General features: G+C 39.8%; 1 protein-coding gene across 50 annotated transcripts in view; it reads right to left on the reverse strand.

Annotated features, from left to right (window-relative positions):
- Window positions 1-17,554, reverse strand: part of CADPS (calcium dependent secretion activator) — a 477,069-nt gene that overhangs the window by 76,257 nt on the left and 383,258 nt on the right. For 27 of the 50 annotated variants that reach the window (XM_017007378.2, XM_017007377.3, NM_003716.4 and 24 more), the window contains 3 exons: window positions 16,735-16,876; window positions 7,119-7,265; window positions 3,657-3,812 (listed from right to left, as the gene is read on the reverse strand). In XM_017007378.2, the coding sequence (XP_016862867.1) occupies window positions 3,657-3,812; window positions 7,119-7,265; window positions 16,735-16,876 (445 nt within the window). The remainder of the gene's footprint in view (window positions 1-3,656; window positions 3,813-7,118; window positions 7,266-16,734; window positions 16,877-17,554) is intronic. The other 23 variants (NM_183393.3, NM_001438352.1, XM_011534199.3 and 20 more) reach the window with 1 other exon arrangement.

Here is a 17,554-nt window from a genome sequence, read left to right on the forward strand (position 1 = left end):
AATGAATGAATTCACAAAAACTCGATTATAGCAGTATAGCATATGTAAGTTCTCTCACATTGGCAACTGCCTACCTTGAATTACTTCATTAATAAAACAAAACAAACAAAAACCAAAGCAGTTTTTAATCTTCAAAACCTCGTGGTGGGGAAAAAAATCTTAAATGATGTTTATTGCTGTGGGTTTTTATTTTCCCCTTTCTGGTTTTGAAAGAGACAAAAATTTAAAATCCAGCAAGTGTATTACATTGCTTTAAAGACTACAAAATTTATTTTGCTTGTTAAAGGACATAAAAAGGTAATACATCAAGCTGTTAAAGATGGCTACCTTTGAGGAGGGGAGGGAAATTAGGAGGTGTGGTATTGGGGGACTTCCACTATGTTTTGTTTTCAATGTCAATGTATTATTTTGCAATAAAATACATTATTTTATGATTTAAAATGTCATAATATACAACTATTTTATATGTACGCTTAATATACATATACAAATTCAAGAATTGTGTGATGGTGGAATCTGAAAGTAACATAATTCTGACATTGGTCAAATTAGGATCTCAGCAATGTGCTAACAACTCATAGAAAAAGCCTAGCCTGACATGGCCAGCTGGTAATACAGGTGGGAGATCTTATCCTTGACATCAGCATTGTAAAAGGGGCCTAGTTATATTTTAAAAGGTTTCAGGGAAGTGGGTGATATCATCAAATGTCTTTAAAGAAAAGCACCTGGTTAGTAAGTGGCTTTATTAAGGCCCCATTTGCCTGATGCATCTTTTTGGCATTGTTCACTGTCAAGTTCTGGAGATCATACAGCCACCAGGAAAGCATTACTTTAAGAGGAATTTGTAGCAGTTTTCTAACAGTGCATAGGAGGACCACACAGCTAGTTAGCTCAGGAAAGGATGCCAGCTTGCTAACACACCCTGAGTGCATGCAGAGAAGCCAAGTATAATTTCTAAGGTTGGGAGCCCAGTTCTTAAGAAAAAAAAAAAAAAAAAAAAAAAAAAAACACCTAAAAATCCCAAACCCTTAAAACACCCCTATATATTATATGATCATGTTAAAGATAAATGTATCTTGGCTTCTGAAGATTCAGTGCACTCAAGTAGCTTTCTAATCATGATGATCATTTTAAGCTACGCTGAAAATACATCATTTGCCGGTTTTGTGAAAAGGAGGCCTGATGAGGACTGAGTTGGACAGGTCCCTGTGCTGATCTTCTGAGGCTTGTGTGCCAGTTCCGGCCCAATTTGAGAAATGGAAATGCTAAATTGCTCCCTTCCAATGAAGTAATCGTCTTCAGTTTTCACAGGAGAACTGTTCATAGCCCTTGGAGTGCAGGGCTGTGAAAAGAGGAAGCTGAATGCAAAATTAATATGACTGAGAGGGCTCTGTAGGACCAAAACGCCAGAAAAGGAGAGGTCATTTAACTCAACTGACTCCTTGAGGGCAAAAGACAGCATGCCTTGTTTTGTGTTCAGCACAAGTAACCTGATATAGACTAGACTAGAGGCTCTGTAAATGTCTGTCAAATTGATGAATTAAATTTCTGGAGCACTGAAACATGAGGAGTGCCTTATTGACTTTTTGTCATGGCATATTTATACCTATGAAACAATGTCCTTGCTATGTTGGCTTAGAACAAGGGACACAGAATCTGTTCTACCAAGGAGAACAACGGTTCTAGGCTCTTCTAATGTAGATTCTATGTATTAAAACATTCAAAAACTCGTCCATGCTCTGTCCTCTGAATCTGTAGGTCCGGGGGTATTTCCACCCATTTTTGCTCTTGTCTGCTTTTGGGCTGATTTAAAAGGGACATCAGGAAATTTAAGTGTCCAGGCCAGCCATACATGTGCAGTGGAGCAACTTCTGTCAGTAAAAGGTTGCTTAACAGCTACTGTGTGCCAAGCATGGTGCTGAGACCTGGGGAGGGTAAGGAACGCCAAATGAAAAAGATCCACTCCCTGGCTCTGTGCAGCTCACCCTCTTTAGGTGTCTGAACCGTGAAGACATGATTACAGCATGGTAAGGGATAAGAGTCCCTATCCACCTGTGACATCCTCATATCTGTCCATTTTCTCTGAGCATCTTCCCATTTCTTGCTCCCTACCCAGACTGGCCTCTCCATGAAGGACATGCATGTCTTTCTGTACAATTATGTGCACAGTTTAGGAACTGGTAAGCCTTTACTGTAATGCATTTCACCCCTAGGACAGATCACGCAAAAAGTTTTTTTATGGAATGGTTTGGCCATTGGAAAAGCATTGCTTTTCCTAAAATTGATATAGACTATCTAGGAGATCGTGGAATTCAAGACCCTAAGGAAATATTTTGATCTTGAGTTTGAGAAGTAGGCCTGCCTTCAGTTCTAAGAGAGAGAATAAAAGAGCAATACTAAAAAATCTGGATCACTACAACTTTAAGCTTCTGGAAGTGGCCTCAAACACCTGCCCAGATTCTCCATAGTGCATAGTTCCTTTCTCAATTCCTGCTGAGATGCTGTTCACCTACCTGAGATTGCATTGTTCTTTTGCTTCTTTGCTTTCCAGTTCTGATGATATTACTTCACCTTTCCTCTTCCAAGATATGAAATAATAAATTCAAAGAACTTCCAGACAAACCCGGCCCCCATCACCCACAATTGATCCATCAACCAAGCTACACAACATCTGGAGATTTGGAGTAGCCTGTGCTGCTTGCAATCTGGGTTTTTTTTTTTTTTTGAATGAGGAAAAATAATGCAACAGTTATGAACTAGAAAAGGAACTTGGATGTGTATCTGGGGGTAGACAGAGTGATGATGATGATGTCCCCTCAGTGGAATTTTATTTCTATATTTGATATGGAGACACTCCATGAGGAAAGGGATTCTACTACTCTCATTCTTCATTGTATGCCAAGAACTTAGCCCTGTGCCTGGCATATGGGAGGAGCTCAAATGATGTTTGCTGAATGGATGAATGTTGTCCTCATTTTTTTCCCTCACCTTCTCAGAACAGTCTGCCTGGGAACTTCAAGTACAGCATTCCTAACCTAGTCCTAAAAGCCACAGTGACAAAACAGGGAATCTATGTGCAGGCAAAATGTAATGTTCCATGTCTCATGCCCCGCTGTTGAAATCCAGCTAGATTTTCAACAAGACAACTACAAGTTGGCCCACATATATGCTCATCTTTTATATACGGAGTGAATGATGATGCTAAGGCCCTATCCACATTGTTAGAAAACCATTAGATTTCTGCTAGCCATACTGGATACGCCAGCTCCAGAATTGCATATTCTTCTTTTTTTCCCTTCTAATTGTCCACTCAGGCACACATTCATACATTTAACAAATACTTACTAGTTAAGTATTTTGTGCCAGACACTGCTAGATATCAGGGATACAAAAAAGAATGGACAGGGATCTTTTCCTCTTAAAGCCAACAACCATGAAAAAATTGGCAGCCAGATTATTTTGGGTTTGGGACAGATGGAGGGCAGGTGAATGGAAGTTAGACGTTGACAGCCACTACTCCAGCTGACTTTGACAAGCAATCCCCTTCTCCAATTAGTTTCAAACTACAGCCAATTGAAAGAGCAGCCATCTACCCTTCCCTGAGTCTGTGTATGGTGGGGAGGGTGTGCAGAACCTGTCCAGCCACCTATACTTACCTTTTGACACAAGATTCGATCATGTCACTTGCCATCAACTTCAGCCGTTGTTCCAGGTGCTTTCCAAACTCTTCTTCAGGCCAGTGCAGGTCCCGAATGAAGGTCTGAAGGGCGTCAAGTTTCCAAAACAGATCTTCTGAGGTGCCTGACCCATTACTGGCAGGACAAAAATTAGAAAATGAGAGTCACCCACTGGCCTCAGGCTCTACAAAAACTAACACAGAGACAACTGGGGGCTAGAAGGCAAACAGCAGCTTCAACATACAAAACAACGTGTGTTGGCGGTGGAGGCGGGGGCGAGTCTCCACCGGCAGATTTTGAGTTTTACCATACATGACTTAGTGTGCTTTGCTCAGCCAATTACCCCAGACCAGTGAGAAGTCTGGGGAAGGTGTTGCCCCATAACAACCAGGAGAATGGTGTATGGTAAAAATCAGCCTTCTTTTAATAACCACATTAACACATGTGATGATTCAGATGAAGGCCACGAACCAGGGGGAGAAATAGTCTCAACAGATAATAACTACATGGCAACATGCAGTTATTAAACTTCAGGGTTTCATGCATTTCCCCAGCTCCCCTCCAGAGTGGAGACCTCTTGGAGATTGCACAAGACTTTTCGTTTTCAAAGGACAGTGCTAACAAAGTGGTGAGCGAGGACCTGCTTTCTCTCTTGAAGAGCTGGAAAGAAATTAGGGTGACTCAGATCAAGAGGGGTACACCTGGATACCTTGATTCCAAAATTCTAGTTCAGTTTGGTTACTGTTCCAATTTTCATAGACCAGCCCATTGCATAGGCAGGGTCCTCACCAGGATGAGGTGAGTCGAGACAGTGGAAGTTAGTGGACAAGGGATATTGTCAATGCTTTAGGGCTCAAAACCTGAGCTCTTTTACCATTGCACCATCTTACCCAGTCCTGTGTGCAGTTGGGGAAATTGGTTTTGATGCCTTTCTATACGATGACGTCTAAGAAACTTTTACCTGGGGCATCTACAAAAAGCCTGTGTATGAAAAATGCTCCATCTCTCATCCTCCTGCCCTTTTCTGGCTGGCTGTCTTTTTTGTAACAATCCCATTTGGAGCTCTGAGGGGTGTCCTCCCCCCCACCCACTTCCTCGCATACCACTAATGCTAACACAGTAATTTATAAAATGTCCAACACACCATGCATTACCACTTGTTCTGACATCGTCTATAGAAACAGATGAGAGTGGGTGTTTCTATTGTGACAGATGCCAGCTGCATTGAATTAATGCTTCAGAGAGAAATATAGCTAGTGCATAAATGCATACACAGCTACTGCAGGGCGGGGAGGGGGCACACGCCCAAGCATGCTGAGAGGGAGCCTACGGCCTGGACCAACAGGGTAATGTTTTCAAGGACAGACCAGTCTGAGGTCAGTACGTAGACGTATCTGACACGATGGAGCAGGTAACATATAAACACGCCCTTAAAATGAAAGGTGGCAAAGGAAGAAACTGGAATTATGAAAAGATATAGAATCAGGCATTTCCTGGTGGGTGATTGAGAATCCACGCCTTCTTTTCAGATACTGCCGTGAGCATTGTTCAAAAGTGGGGGAATGCGTTGTTTCTCCGTGAAAGTTCAGCCTTCCCCCTGCCCCAACCTATGCTTGGGAAAAAGAAACCCCAACTTTGTCTAGTCTAAGCCCCGTTTTGGAACTGCATGGTTGTATGTTTTAAATCATTAAGTACATATGAATGCAATAATTGGTATTTATTACAACAACATTTTGACACCCATCTGGTTTCAGAGTTTCAAAAAATTCTTGTAGGGTTTTTTTTTTCTTTGAAGAGCTTATTATTAAGTTTTGACATGAGGAAAAGAATATTTTCTTTTTATTTTTAAGATAAACTGTTAATGTTAAGGCAATAGCACCAAGATTATTTTGATTGCTGAGCAGTTACCAAAATGTGTTCCCACTCATGCCTTAATTAATTGAACGGAGACCATTATCTGCTTTATTACAATGTCTTGATTCATATCTTTTCAAAAACAGTGTCACAGAGCATGCACAGAGGAAGATAAGAGAAGCTTTCTGATATTTTTAAATTTTTCACAGATACTACCTAATCTAATTTTTTCATATAGTCATCTTAGCATGAATATGATTTGTGTTCTTTTTTAGAAGCTTTTTTTCAGATATAAATTTTTGGAGGTTGTAATTTGCCTTTAAAAGAGAATCAGACACATTGACCATATGATTTTAGTGTGAACTTGTGAGCAATTGTAGGTTGTAGAAATATCAGGCAGCTTTGGAGGAGCCAGCTAGAGCAGTCATTTTAATGGTCTGTCCTCCACCTGGATTACTGCAAGAATAAAAATGCTGAGGGCCGTCTTGATGAATGTGATTCTAAGATTTCAAAACATCACTGCCAGTTTCAGACCATTTTTTATTCCTTTGATAATAACACTTCCCTTTGAAAACGTGCCAATTTATTCTTTCAAGAAAAAGCTTATCTGGTCCGTAATTAGCTGTGGTCTAAGAAAAGGATCAAAGAAGGGTACAGAATCGCTAAACCTTATTTCACTTATTAAATCATGCACGTGGTTCTAATTTCCCTGAGGTAGAATTTAGGGGTGCTCGATCTTCTTGCTAACTAAAAAAGGAGAGAAGATTCATTTTTGAAGCTAGAAGAAATGGCTTCTCAACCCTCACTCCCCCAAACTGCTGGCTTTCAAGAAGTGGCCCATGCAACTCTGACATTCATGTGGATGAGTATAAAGCATAGCCCTATATTCAGATGATATGGCTACCACAAATTTAATTATTTATTGTTTGAATCTTGTGTTTCGAGAATTATTGAACTTCTCATTACCTAGCTCTCAAAGCACCATATTGTACTGTGACCTTGGAAAGTACATAATATATTTTTTTACATAACATTTATGTGACTAAGGCTTGATCCATTCAGAAATTTTCATTTAGCCCTGAACATACTGTTACTATATCCTGCCATTTGCTGACACCAGAAATATGCTTTATGGTTTAAACATTCTCTAGGAATTTTTTATTTTTATTTAAAGAAAACACCCCAGATTCTAGGTAGGTGTGCTTCCTTCTTAGATTTGGATCAGGCCAGAGATGACTGGCCAGCCCACCAAAGAGGTTTCCTCCACTATTTTTGGATGTCTAGCTCCTAAAGTCATGTCACCTGCCAAAAAGGGTAGAATCCTTTTGCAAAAGAATTCAGGAAGTGAAACATAGTCCTCCAGCATTCAGTGGGCGTAAGACAAATTGTTAGTGCTGTATATATAGCAAACATCTTACAAACATGATGCATGCCAGAAATAAACAATATTGTCTCTGTATGATCAGCAAAATATGTCTAATTATCCATCTCCATCTCTGTTATATAGGATGTATAGAAATAAACAATACATATCCATGCCAAGATCACTTAAATTTAAATGAGATCTAATGTGAACTGAATACACACTCCGCATCATATATAGCAGCCATCCATGACGGTGCCGAAAAAGTAGGCATTTGTGGGATGCCTAGAGGGATGTTAACTGGTAGATTTGGTACTTTGGGAAGGTTCACATTGGGTAGGTTCACATTGGGTAGGTTACTGGTTAAACTCCTGTGGAAGAAACAGACAGAAAGAAAAAATACCATCACAGTGACAATGCAGATGTGGCAGAAGCACACGACAATTGTAAATAAATTGACCAAGTCCACAGCAAGACAACAGCAAAAACTCAAGCGACACACTTCAGAAAGCAGCTTACAGATGGGAAGCTGTGGTGTGGCTCTGTATCCAGAGAAATGACAAAAGTTAATGGAAAAATTAACCACACAGTGACTTAAAAGTGCACCCATACACAATGATCACATGCCTTTGGGAGGGGCCTTTGGTTTCCATATCCATTGCCATAAGAGTCTAGAACTTTTCTCATGCTAAGAACTTGAAGTTCCTGGAATTCTTGGTGTGGCTGGGGCTGGGGTTGCTGTGAAGTCACTGGGATTGATAGAAATGGTGGAGCACTTCAATTTTCTTATTTTTAAAACAAATTACTGTTGATGGAGGCATATTTCTCAATCAGACGTTAGACACCAAATAGAGTAGGAAGTTCACCCACTTGGAGGCACACCTAATGGTGATGTACAGAAACCAAGCTCTTTCTAACTGCTGCTTCTAAAGACAGGTGTATGGGCAATGGCATGTCAGTTGATGGTGAAATTATGAAATTGTATCAAGAAGAAAGATCAGATTTGAATAATTTTATAGAACATTTAAAGAAAATAGAAACTTTCTCTCTCAAACTAAGTTCAACAAAAATGCAGAAATGTTTACACACAGAAACAGACACCAAGGAAATGAAAACAATCCCCAATTCAGCTCTTGTATTAGACTCTTTGACCAAAAGTGGATTTAAAATGTGGCTTCATATCATAATAGTTACCCTTGGAAGTGGGACAGACACTGGGAGAAAGCATGAAAGGGACTTCTGGGGAGATTCTACTTTTTGATCTGTGTGATGGCTTACATGGGTGTGTGTTCAATTTGTGAAAATTAATCAAGCTCTGTATTTTTCTGTAAAAAGTTAAAATAAGTGACTAAAAAGTTAAAAATGTTACCTCATACCAGCCTTTTGTTTTTGGACAAAGATGGATCAACTGACGTGATGGAAGAGAGATGGATGGTTTTATAAGTAGAGGGAGAAAATAAAACAAAACAAAACCCCCAACTTGAATCAACTGTATTTCTTTGGAAGGACGGTGTCATACACGGCTCCTCAAGCTGGCACCGTGTGTCTCAGTAGTGGCATTTTAAGGGTGTTCCATCCAGCCAAAGTCACTGGCACGGTAGAGCCCAGCCTAACTCTGCATCTGAGAGGAGCCTTCCTGTTTAAGTGAAGTTGACAGCACTTTGGCAAAGGACTTGAGGTTCTCTTTTTGGATCTTGCAGGAGAAGAGCAAGTTTTGCCAAAGCAGCTCTGCCCTGGGCAAGCTGTGTTTGACTAACAGGACTCCTGCAAGAGCTGGAGCTGCCTCTGGGCTTGCTTGGGTGGGGAAGTGGGGGAGTAGGGGAGTAGGGGAGTGGGGGAGTGGGGGAGTTAGGGAAGGGGGAAGTTAGGGGGTGGGGGGGTGGAGGTGGGTACATGCCTTCTGCTAAGTCAGAAATTCTGGACCTTGAAGATCACCTGGATACCTGTCTCCCTCTAGAAACAGATTATTCTTTCACAATGGCAATATAGCCCCAGCTCATAGACTGAAAAACCTAGAATGCAAAATTGTCTACCTGGCATTCTCTTCTGTAAGGGAAACAGGTGTCTCATAAATTTGTCCTTTACACCTCACATTTTGGGAAAGCCAATTATACATCTCTACTTGGAACTAAAGGGTGCTCTTGTGGGAATGGTCAAGAAAAGATTAACTATATGACTATTAAACAGAAGGGAAAATGGAACTTTTCCTTTTATGTGTCTCTGTTTAAATGGGGAATTTGCCTTTGAATTCAGTCCCTGGTGGCTCTTAGTCTTAAACACTGCCATGTAACAAAACCGTTGGCGATTTCCACTGAGACATGTGTAAGCCTATATAAGCAAATGTGATCATTAAATGATACACACACTGAATAATGATCAAGGAATTAGAAGATCTTAGAGATGGCAGCCCGGAAAGTTAAAATGTCAATTCTGAGCAAATTAAAAGTAGCTAGGAGTGCATAACATACAAATGTATGCAAAAGCAATTTAATTTAAACATATTAGCGGGTGGCGGGTACACAAATTAGAAGCAAGCTTCATTTTGCACACAAAAATAAAAAAAATACTTCTATTAATCAAAACATATTGTATTTGTAAAATATGACATTTCAGCTAGACTACTGCACTGGACTCATAGAAACATTTCCTTCTCTTTTTTTAATGCTCTGCTTTCAAATTTTATAATGCTCTACTTTTAAAAGGATGAAACATGCTTGATATTTCTGCTTTTAGAAAAATAATGTAGTGTATTACTAGTGTTACTAATATTTCATTTGGATATTAATAACATAAAGAATCAAGGAGGTAATTCTAAGCATAATATTTTACTAATATACATGTGAAAAGGGGGAATTTTTAAGTAGCACTTAGTTCCAATCAGGCTCCTGGAACTGCTGATGACTATAATGAATTATTACTTTGAAGAGGGCCTTTTTAGCAGCTACCTTAAAACAAGTTAGTTATGCATCTCTGAGAGAATCATAATTGGATATCTCTGGATAGTACAAGAAGTATGAATTGCAATCCTAACAACTTATATGCATTAAAATTTACACTCTTTCATTCATTTTGGGGACTCTTGAAAAAGAATAGCTTCCATTTAGGCCAAAGTGCCCATCCGTGGATGGTTTAGAAACATTCTCATCTACTCACTCTTACATGGATGAATGTCACAGATGTGTGCACGTCTCATCATTTCTATGGATAGAAATGAGTGGAGGTGAAGTCATTCCTGCTTCTAGAATTGACTCTAATCAAGACACTGACTCCATGCAGAAGGGATAGAGTTGTACCTTTCTCAAAGATTTTGGCTTTAGATTTATGGATGGGGTTGTATTTAAGATACAAAATGCCTTCTACTTTTATGAATCAGTTGTTGCATGCATATATGTAGCACATCTTGTCTTTTCTTAGTGCTTTGAGCACTGAAGCCTCTGTCAGTGTTTGTTCTTAGGTCTAATCCCTACTTTGGGGCAGGGGCATTCTCTAATATCTTCCTAGAATCTAGAGCAGTATTTTACAATCTTTTACTCATTATCACCCTGCCCCACAACTTCCTTCTCCATGAAAATTTAATACAACAGATATATAGAATATCTGTTTATGTATTATATGTAGATCTGTGCTATATATATAAAAAGAGTAAGACGTTTTTAAGCGCCACCCTCCCACCTGAGTCAATTTTCTCAACTTATGAGCTGTAAAGCCCCCATTGAGAATGTATCATCTACAGAAAAAAAAAAAATTCCAAACTTTGTGGGACTTTAGAACCTCCCAAACATCTCTCCAACTTTATGGCTTGCCTTTGTTATAATCCATGCTGGCGAAAACTCAGCGTTTGCATGCTCTCCCTCCCTTGTATTTCTACCTTTGTACATCATCTTTCCCAGCATCCCTACCCCTTTTGAAATCCTGCTCTCAAGCTACGTTTTTCATGACCCCTTAGTGGAAATTGATTTCCCTCTATTCTTATGTCCTCATAACTTTTCCTTATGTTATTTGTAAATTACAGATTTTACATTGGCAAATAGAGTCGTTTTTCCTTTTTCATGATAATTTTGACATTTCATAAAGTCATTTTTCTTGTGTGTATGTTGCTCAGACCCAACTAGATTGAAACCCTCATCTGGGGAAACATCCCCATAGTTTTCCCATTACATCCTTATCATTTTCAGCCTGTGTGGGTTCTTTAACAAATATGGCAATTAATCAACAAACATTTATTGAGCACCTGTTATGTTCCAGGCCCTGTTATAGGTGTTAGGGAGGCAGCGATGATCAAATGTGTATATGTGTCTGAATATGGACAGTGATATCTTCAAGAATGTTAGCATTGGAAAAGCTTTGGTTATTCAAAGTCCTTGTTTGACAAGGTAGGATACTGAGCCTCAGGGAGGTGAACTGAGGGAGGATCTCAACTCAGGACACTTGGTGGCCCAAGGTCACCCAGCAAATTATTGGCAGAATCATGAGATCTGACACCAAGTACATTACTTGTCTATTTGACACCAGGCCACCTGCATATTGCTAAGGTGTCTTTGGTCTGATGGTTGATATGCTAATATGTTCCACCATAGTAACAATTTTACTTCACATGTATCTTATGGCATTATGTTTTATATCTTAAATATATACAATAAAACCTATTTTCAAAAAAGATATTGATGGCCAGGTGCAGTGGCTCACGCCTGTGATCCCAGCACTTTGGGAGGCCAAGGCTGGTGGATCACGAGGTCAGGAGATCGAGACCATCCTGGCTAACACGGTGAAACCCTGCCCCACTAAAAACACAAAAAATTAGCTGGGCGTGGTGGCAGGCACCTGTAGTCCCAGCTACTTGGGAGGCTGAGGCAGGAGAATCGCTTGAACCCAGGAGGCGGAGCTTGCAGTGAGCCAAGACAGCACCACTGCACTCCAGCCTGGGCGACAGAGCAAGACTCCGTCTCAAAAAAAAAAAAAAAAAAAAAAGATATTGATATCTATGACTATTTGGAAAGTGACATTAAAAAATACTTTTTATATGCATATCTGAGGCAGAGTGAGAAAGTGCATTTTGAGAAATGAGAATCCCAGATTTTACAGTGTGCATATATTAAGAAGCAGTGTTTAGTTCTACCATTCAGAGCTGATGCAGGGCAAGAGAGCCCCAAAGTAGGGCTTAGCCCATGAGGGTTCTTGGCTTCACCCAGGAAAGAATTCAAGGGTGAGCCGATGGTAAAGTGGAAGAAAAATGCTTTATTGAAGTGGTAGTGTAAAATCTCTGGTGGTGTTACAGTGCTGTGACTGCTCCTGCAGAGCAGGGCTTTCCCACAGGCAGTGTGCTTGGAGTAGCAAGCAGCTCAGGGCAGTTTTGCAGTCATATTTATACATGCTTTTAATTACATGTAGATTAAGGAGAGGTTTATGCAAGATATTTCTAGGCAAAGGGTAGTAACATCTGGGTCATCAGGTCATTGACATGGAAATGAGTGGTAACTCCATGGCAATGGTAAACTGACAGGGCACACTGGTGGGAATGTCTTATGGAAAGCCACTTTTGCCCCATCCTTGTTTTAGCTAGTTCCCAATTTGGTCTGGTTTCTGAACCCCACCTCCAGAGTTAAGTTCTGGCTCTTGCCTCAGAACAGTCCTAACTTGAAGTGGGCAACCATGCAGCCAAGGATTCCCCATGCCTGGAGGTGTTTAAGTAAAGATTGAGTGACCATCTGTCAGGGAAAAGGTAGTAGGCAAGGGTGGTGGAGCTACTAGACTTGGTAAGACTTTGAATGAGTTGTTTTCTAGGTTTTCTTTCATATTGAAGGCCACCATGGCTTATTACCAATGAGCTAACACTGAAGAGCTGATGGAAATGTTGTCCATTTCTTGTTAGGACCAAAACCTCATATTCACAGCTGCCAGAAGGATTGTGGGCAACCTGCCCAACTGTGAGTGGTGACCCTACTACATGTCCTGATGGAAACCCATGAGAGGGCCATGGGCTCCAGATTTTATTGACAACTTGGGACTGTCTTTGAGAAGCTGACTATCTTTAGCTATGGTTAGAAGCAAAGAGATGACATTGTCCACCAATTCATAGAGATTCTAACCATGACTGTGTCTGGCTTAACGGAAACAGAGATGTAGCTTCCCTTTTCTCTTTTCGAAGAGATGGAAGACTGTCTTTCTAGGGAAAGGCTGCCATAGGACTCAGCCATTTTACCCTTTCCGTCAAATAACTTCAATTATTTTTGTTGTTGTTGTTTTTGTTGTTCATCTTAAATAACCTTAATTGTATCAAGCCTAAATGATGATATCTATTTTCTTTTACAGGGCCATATTTTGAAATAAGAAAATCTGAAGAATAAAGGATATTTTTCATTCTCTTTTTAGCAAACTCAATACATTGGTAGCATTTTCTTGTCAGATTGCTATTTTTCTTCAGCATTTTGCATGCTAATTATTTTGAACATTACATTGCATTTCATTACAATGCATTTCTCATTTTACTTATAACGAGGTGCTTATAAATTTTGAAAAGAAGAAGAACAGAACTACTTGAGGATAACAATTGTTTGAAAGAAAGGCTGTGTGTGTGTATGTATGTATTGGAAGATTCTGTGGCAAAAATGGAAAAGACTGAGCAAACTAAATCTATTTACCTAAGTTAGTTTCTTGTTTTGGGGTGAGCTTGATGAGAAGTATGCCAAAAAGATCATTCTTCACTTGGAAAAAAAATCTAAGAAGAGAAATGAATCTGCTTCTTCATCAACCCACCAATAAGTAGTCAGATGGAAGTTCACACTTTATTTCTATTCACGTTGTAGGAAACATGGAGAGAGTCACTCCTCTTAGCACATAACATGTCTCCAAGCTCTTTTTTACACTCCATTTTATTCCATTCTGCAAAGCTGCCCCGTGGCATCCACACTCTGTTTAAAAATCGGCTGATACAGTGTGTGTGGTAGCTTGTATTTTAGTTAGCACTGTTTTTATTATTTATTTATTTATTTATTTATTTATTATTATTATTTTTTAATAGGGACTCACTCTGTCACCCCAGGCTGGAGTACAGTGGCAGGATCATGGCTCACTGTAACCTTGAACTCCTGGGCTCAAGCAATCCTCCCACCTCAGCCTCCTGAGTAGTTTGGACTACATGCTGTGCCACCATGCCTGGCTACTTTTTTTATTTTGTAGAGATGGAGTCTGGTTATGTTGCCCAGACTGGTCTTGAACTCCTGGCCTCAGGTGATCCTCTCGCCTTGGCCCCCCAAAGTGTTGGGATTACAAGTGTGAACAACCACACCCAGCCCTTAGTTGGCACTTTTAAAGATCTCCACAGACTCTGAAAGGCATATACTATTTAGTATGAATTGAACAAACCACAATCATATTCACTAACAGCATAATTTTAGATAGCAAAAAGCTACTAAAAAACACACACGTATCTGCATAATTCTCAGGTTATTATTCGCAACTATTATTCCTTTATTCACAATTTGCAGACCTTTAAATTGCCCATGCAAGAGTTCAAATTTTTTTTTAATTGGTAAAAATATTCCCAAGAAAACATCCCTAGACTAAGATTTCCAGGTATGAAGATGATTTTTGAGTCTATCTTTATTTCTGATGGTATTAAGAATATTTAATGCCCCCAAAGAAGTAGCAGTCATGTGTTAAACTTTTATTATTTTTTTTTTTGAGACGGCATCTCGGTCTGTCACCCAGGCTGGAGTGCAGTGGAGCGATCTCGGCTCACTGCAAGCTCCACCTCCTGGGTTCACACCATTCTCCTGCCTCAGCCTCCCGAGTAGCTGGGACTACAGGTGCCCACCACCACGCCCAGCTAATTTTTTGTATTTTTAGTAGAGACGGGGTTTCACCGTGTTAGCCAGGATGTTCTCGATCCCCTGACCTTGTGATCCACCCGCCTCGGCCTCCCAAAGTGCTGGGATTACTGGCGTGAGCCGCCGCACCCGGCCGTGTTTGACTTTTAAGAAATTTAACAGATTATAAAATGACTTAGTGACATTATCACGAAGTTCCATGACAATTCTCAGACACTGGACAGGCACATTTTTAAAACTTCAGTTTTGCAGGGGAGCAAACAAGTTCATAGAGGTTTGAACCCTTGACTTCTGGCTAGTAAATGGGCACTAAATCTAGGGCTCTTCAAGGAATAGTGAAGGATACCAATTATTCTCTTCCATGTGTGTTGGTAGTAGTAGTCTCCGTATTTAAGTGCAAGTAAGTAAATGTTATTTCAAGACCATTGTTATTTTAAAACGTAAATATTACTCATTTTAACCTTTTCCTCTTAATAGCTATTCTCCAGCACAACTGTCTTCATTGTATTGAACATTGAAAAAAAATAGAGGCTCTCAATAATTTACCATCAAGGGATCCAGTTCTACCCTCATGAGTGAAAAGTCAGTAGGGCCATATTAAGAGACTGTTATAAACTGGAGAATAACAAACTAAAATTTAAATTTCTTGGTATTTGCAAAGGAGGAGCTACTGGTTATTAACCTCCCTGCAATAGGGAAACTCCTCTTGTGGCTCAGATGTGGAAGGGGGGCAGAAAAGCCTATTTTGCATTAATTTATCAGTGAGAGCCTTATACAGTATAACATTAGAGGAGGGTCTCAGTTCAGAAAACTGCTTAAAAATAGGCTGCAAGTCAAGGCTTCCAAACTGAGGAAAGGCCTCATGAATATTTGTTCTGGAGTTCCTAAAATGTGCTTGTAACATCCCTCTACTTTGCTCCATACTGTTTGCTGCATCCCAAAGATGTAAAATACTAGCATGAACGAAATGATTTCCTTAAAAAAAGAAAGAAAGAAAGAAAGAAAGAAACTAACAAGGCAAATCCAGCAGTAGGCTTTACTGGAGCTTTTCAAACCATCAAACCATAACCATCAAACTCTCCATATAGGAGTCTCTATTTTTTCAGAAAGGGGAGTCTGAGACTGACCCTCTGGAGCCTCAAGTCAAGCCCTCTTCCCATTTGGGGAATGGAGATGGCACCAAGCCTGCCAAACATTTTCAAATAAGACCTAAAATTTGCCAAACATTTGTGGAAATTGACAAACTTGCAACCCACAAGATTTCCCATAATTTATCCTGCAGGGTATATGTCCCATTTTAAAAAAAGCACACGGTTGTCAAATACATTTAGGAAAATCCGGGTTAAACAGAGTTACACAAAATTCTAGGTCAGTGGGGTAGGTATTGTTTCCTAAACATACTTGGCCATAAAGGTTTTTTTTAAAAAGGTGCATCTAAAAGGCCTAGACCAGGCAATGGCAAACTATGGACCTGTTTTGTTAACAAAGTTTCATTGGAACACAGCTACACTCGTTCATTTACATACTGTCTATGACTGCTTTCATGCTACAATGACAGAGTTGAGTTGTGACAGAGATTATGTGGCTCCAAAAGCCTAAGTATATAGTATATGGCCTTTTATAGAAAAAGTTTGCTGACCTCCCTGCCTAGAACCCCACCGAACACACTTTGGGAAACACTGAATCCTAGAGATAACACCATTGGAGTAAGACATACCACACAAATATCACAGCCGAGTTTATATTCCTTCTTCCTTATTTATCTTGTGCAATAAGAGATTTCATTTCATGAAACGTTTTTTCAGCCTCTTCCCCTACCCTACCCACCTCCTCCATCCCCGACCCTCCTGCCATTTGGGCAAAGAAGCTATGAGCATCATAGTAGAAGAAATGTATGGTGTTTCTCTCTGTCCACAATAACAGTGAAACCCATATGACATCATTAATCCATTTCTGTATTACTCTCCAGCCATTTGTACCCAAACTCCGATGGTATCAAAAAAGGTTTCCTTACTTGACTGGTTCCCATGACTCCCGCTCAAAGCCCCTGTGAATGGATTGTGCAATTGAGGACTCCATCAGATCCACATATCTAACAACAAGTGGGGCAAACAGGTCTTGCAGGTGTTTGTGAAATTTTCCATTGCACAAATTATCTAGAACAGATAAGCAAAAGCTTGTTAAGAACCCACAGCTACTTTATCAACGTACAACACACACACACACACACACAAACACACACACACACACACACACACACAGATGATTGATTGTCTTCTACATTAAATATACTGCTTCTAAGGAAGCCAAAAAGAGAAGAGAAGGAAAAAAGTACATAAAAAGCATTGAAATGGAATTCAAAAACACTTTACCCCTTGGTATTGATCTTCTAAAAGGAAAAACGATCATGCTACTTTAAGAAACAACAGAAACAACAATCCACACTATTTTTTTTTCTGTTTTTCTTGCACCCACTTCCCTTCTTCCCATTAAGTTCCTAGGAAGAAAGAACATTCTTCATACTCTGCCCTCCTTCATCACCCTCCCTGGGGAGGAAGGTCTATTTTATGGCTGTTGTCACTATAACATACTCTGAAATGCTTGACATGTTAGTCAGCTGGAAATTTTTTTTTCATCTAGAAAGCATCTTTTGATAAAAATTGCAAAATATGAAGAGGTTAATTAATTTGAGAGACAATCAAACACACAAAAAATGGATACCTCTTCTCACATTACTCTCAGGTTATTCTGTCTAGTTAAGAGAGAGCGTCCCTAGAACAGGATACTTTTTGGAAGAAAGGGAATACCCTTCAGCTGTATGTTTCTTTTTGGGG

The sequence above is a fragment of the Homo sapiens genome, chromosome 3 (genome assembly GCF_000001405.40).
Source record: "Homo sapiens chromosome 3, GRCh38.p14 Primary Assembly".
Taxonomy (NCBI): domain Eukaryota; kingdom Metazoa; phylum Chordata; class Mammalia; order Primates; family Hominidae; genus Homo; species Homo sapiens.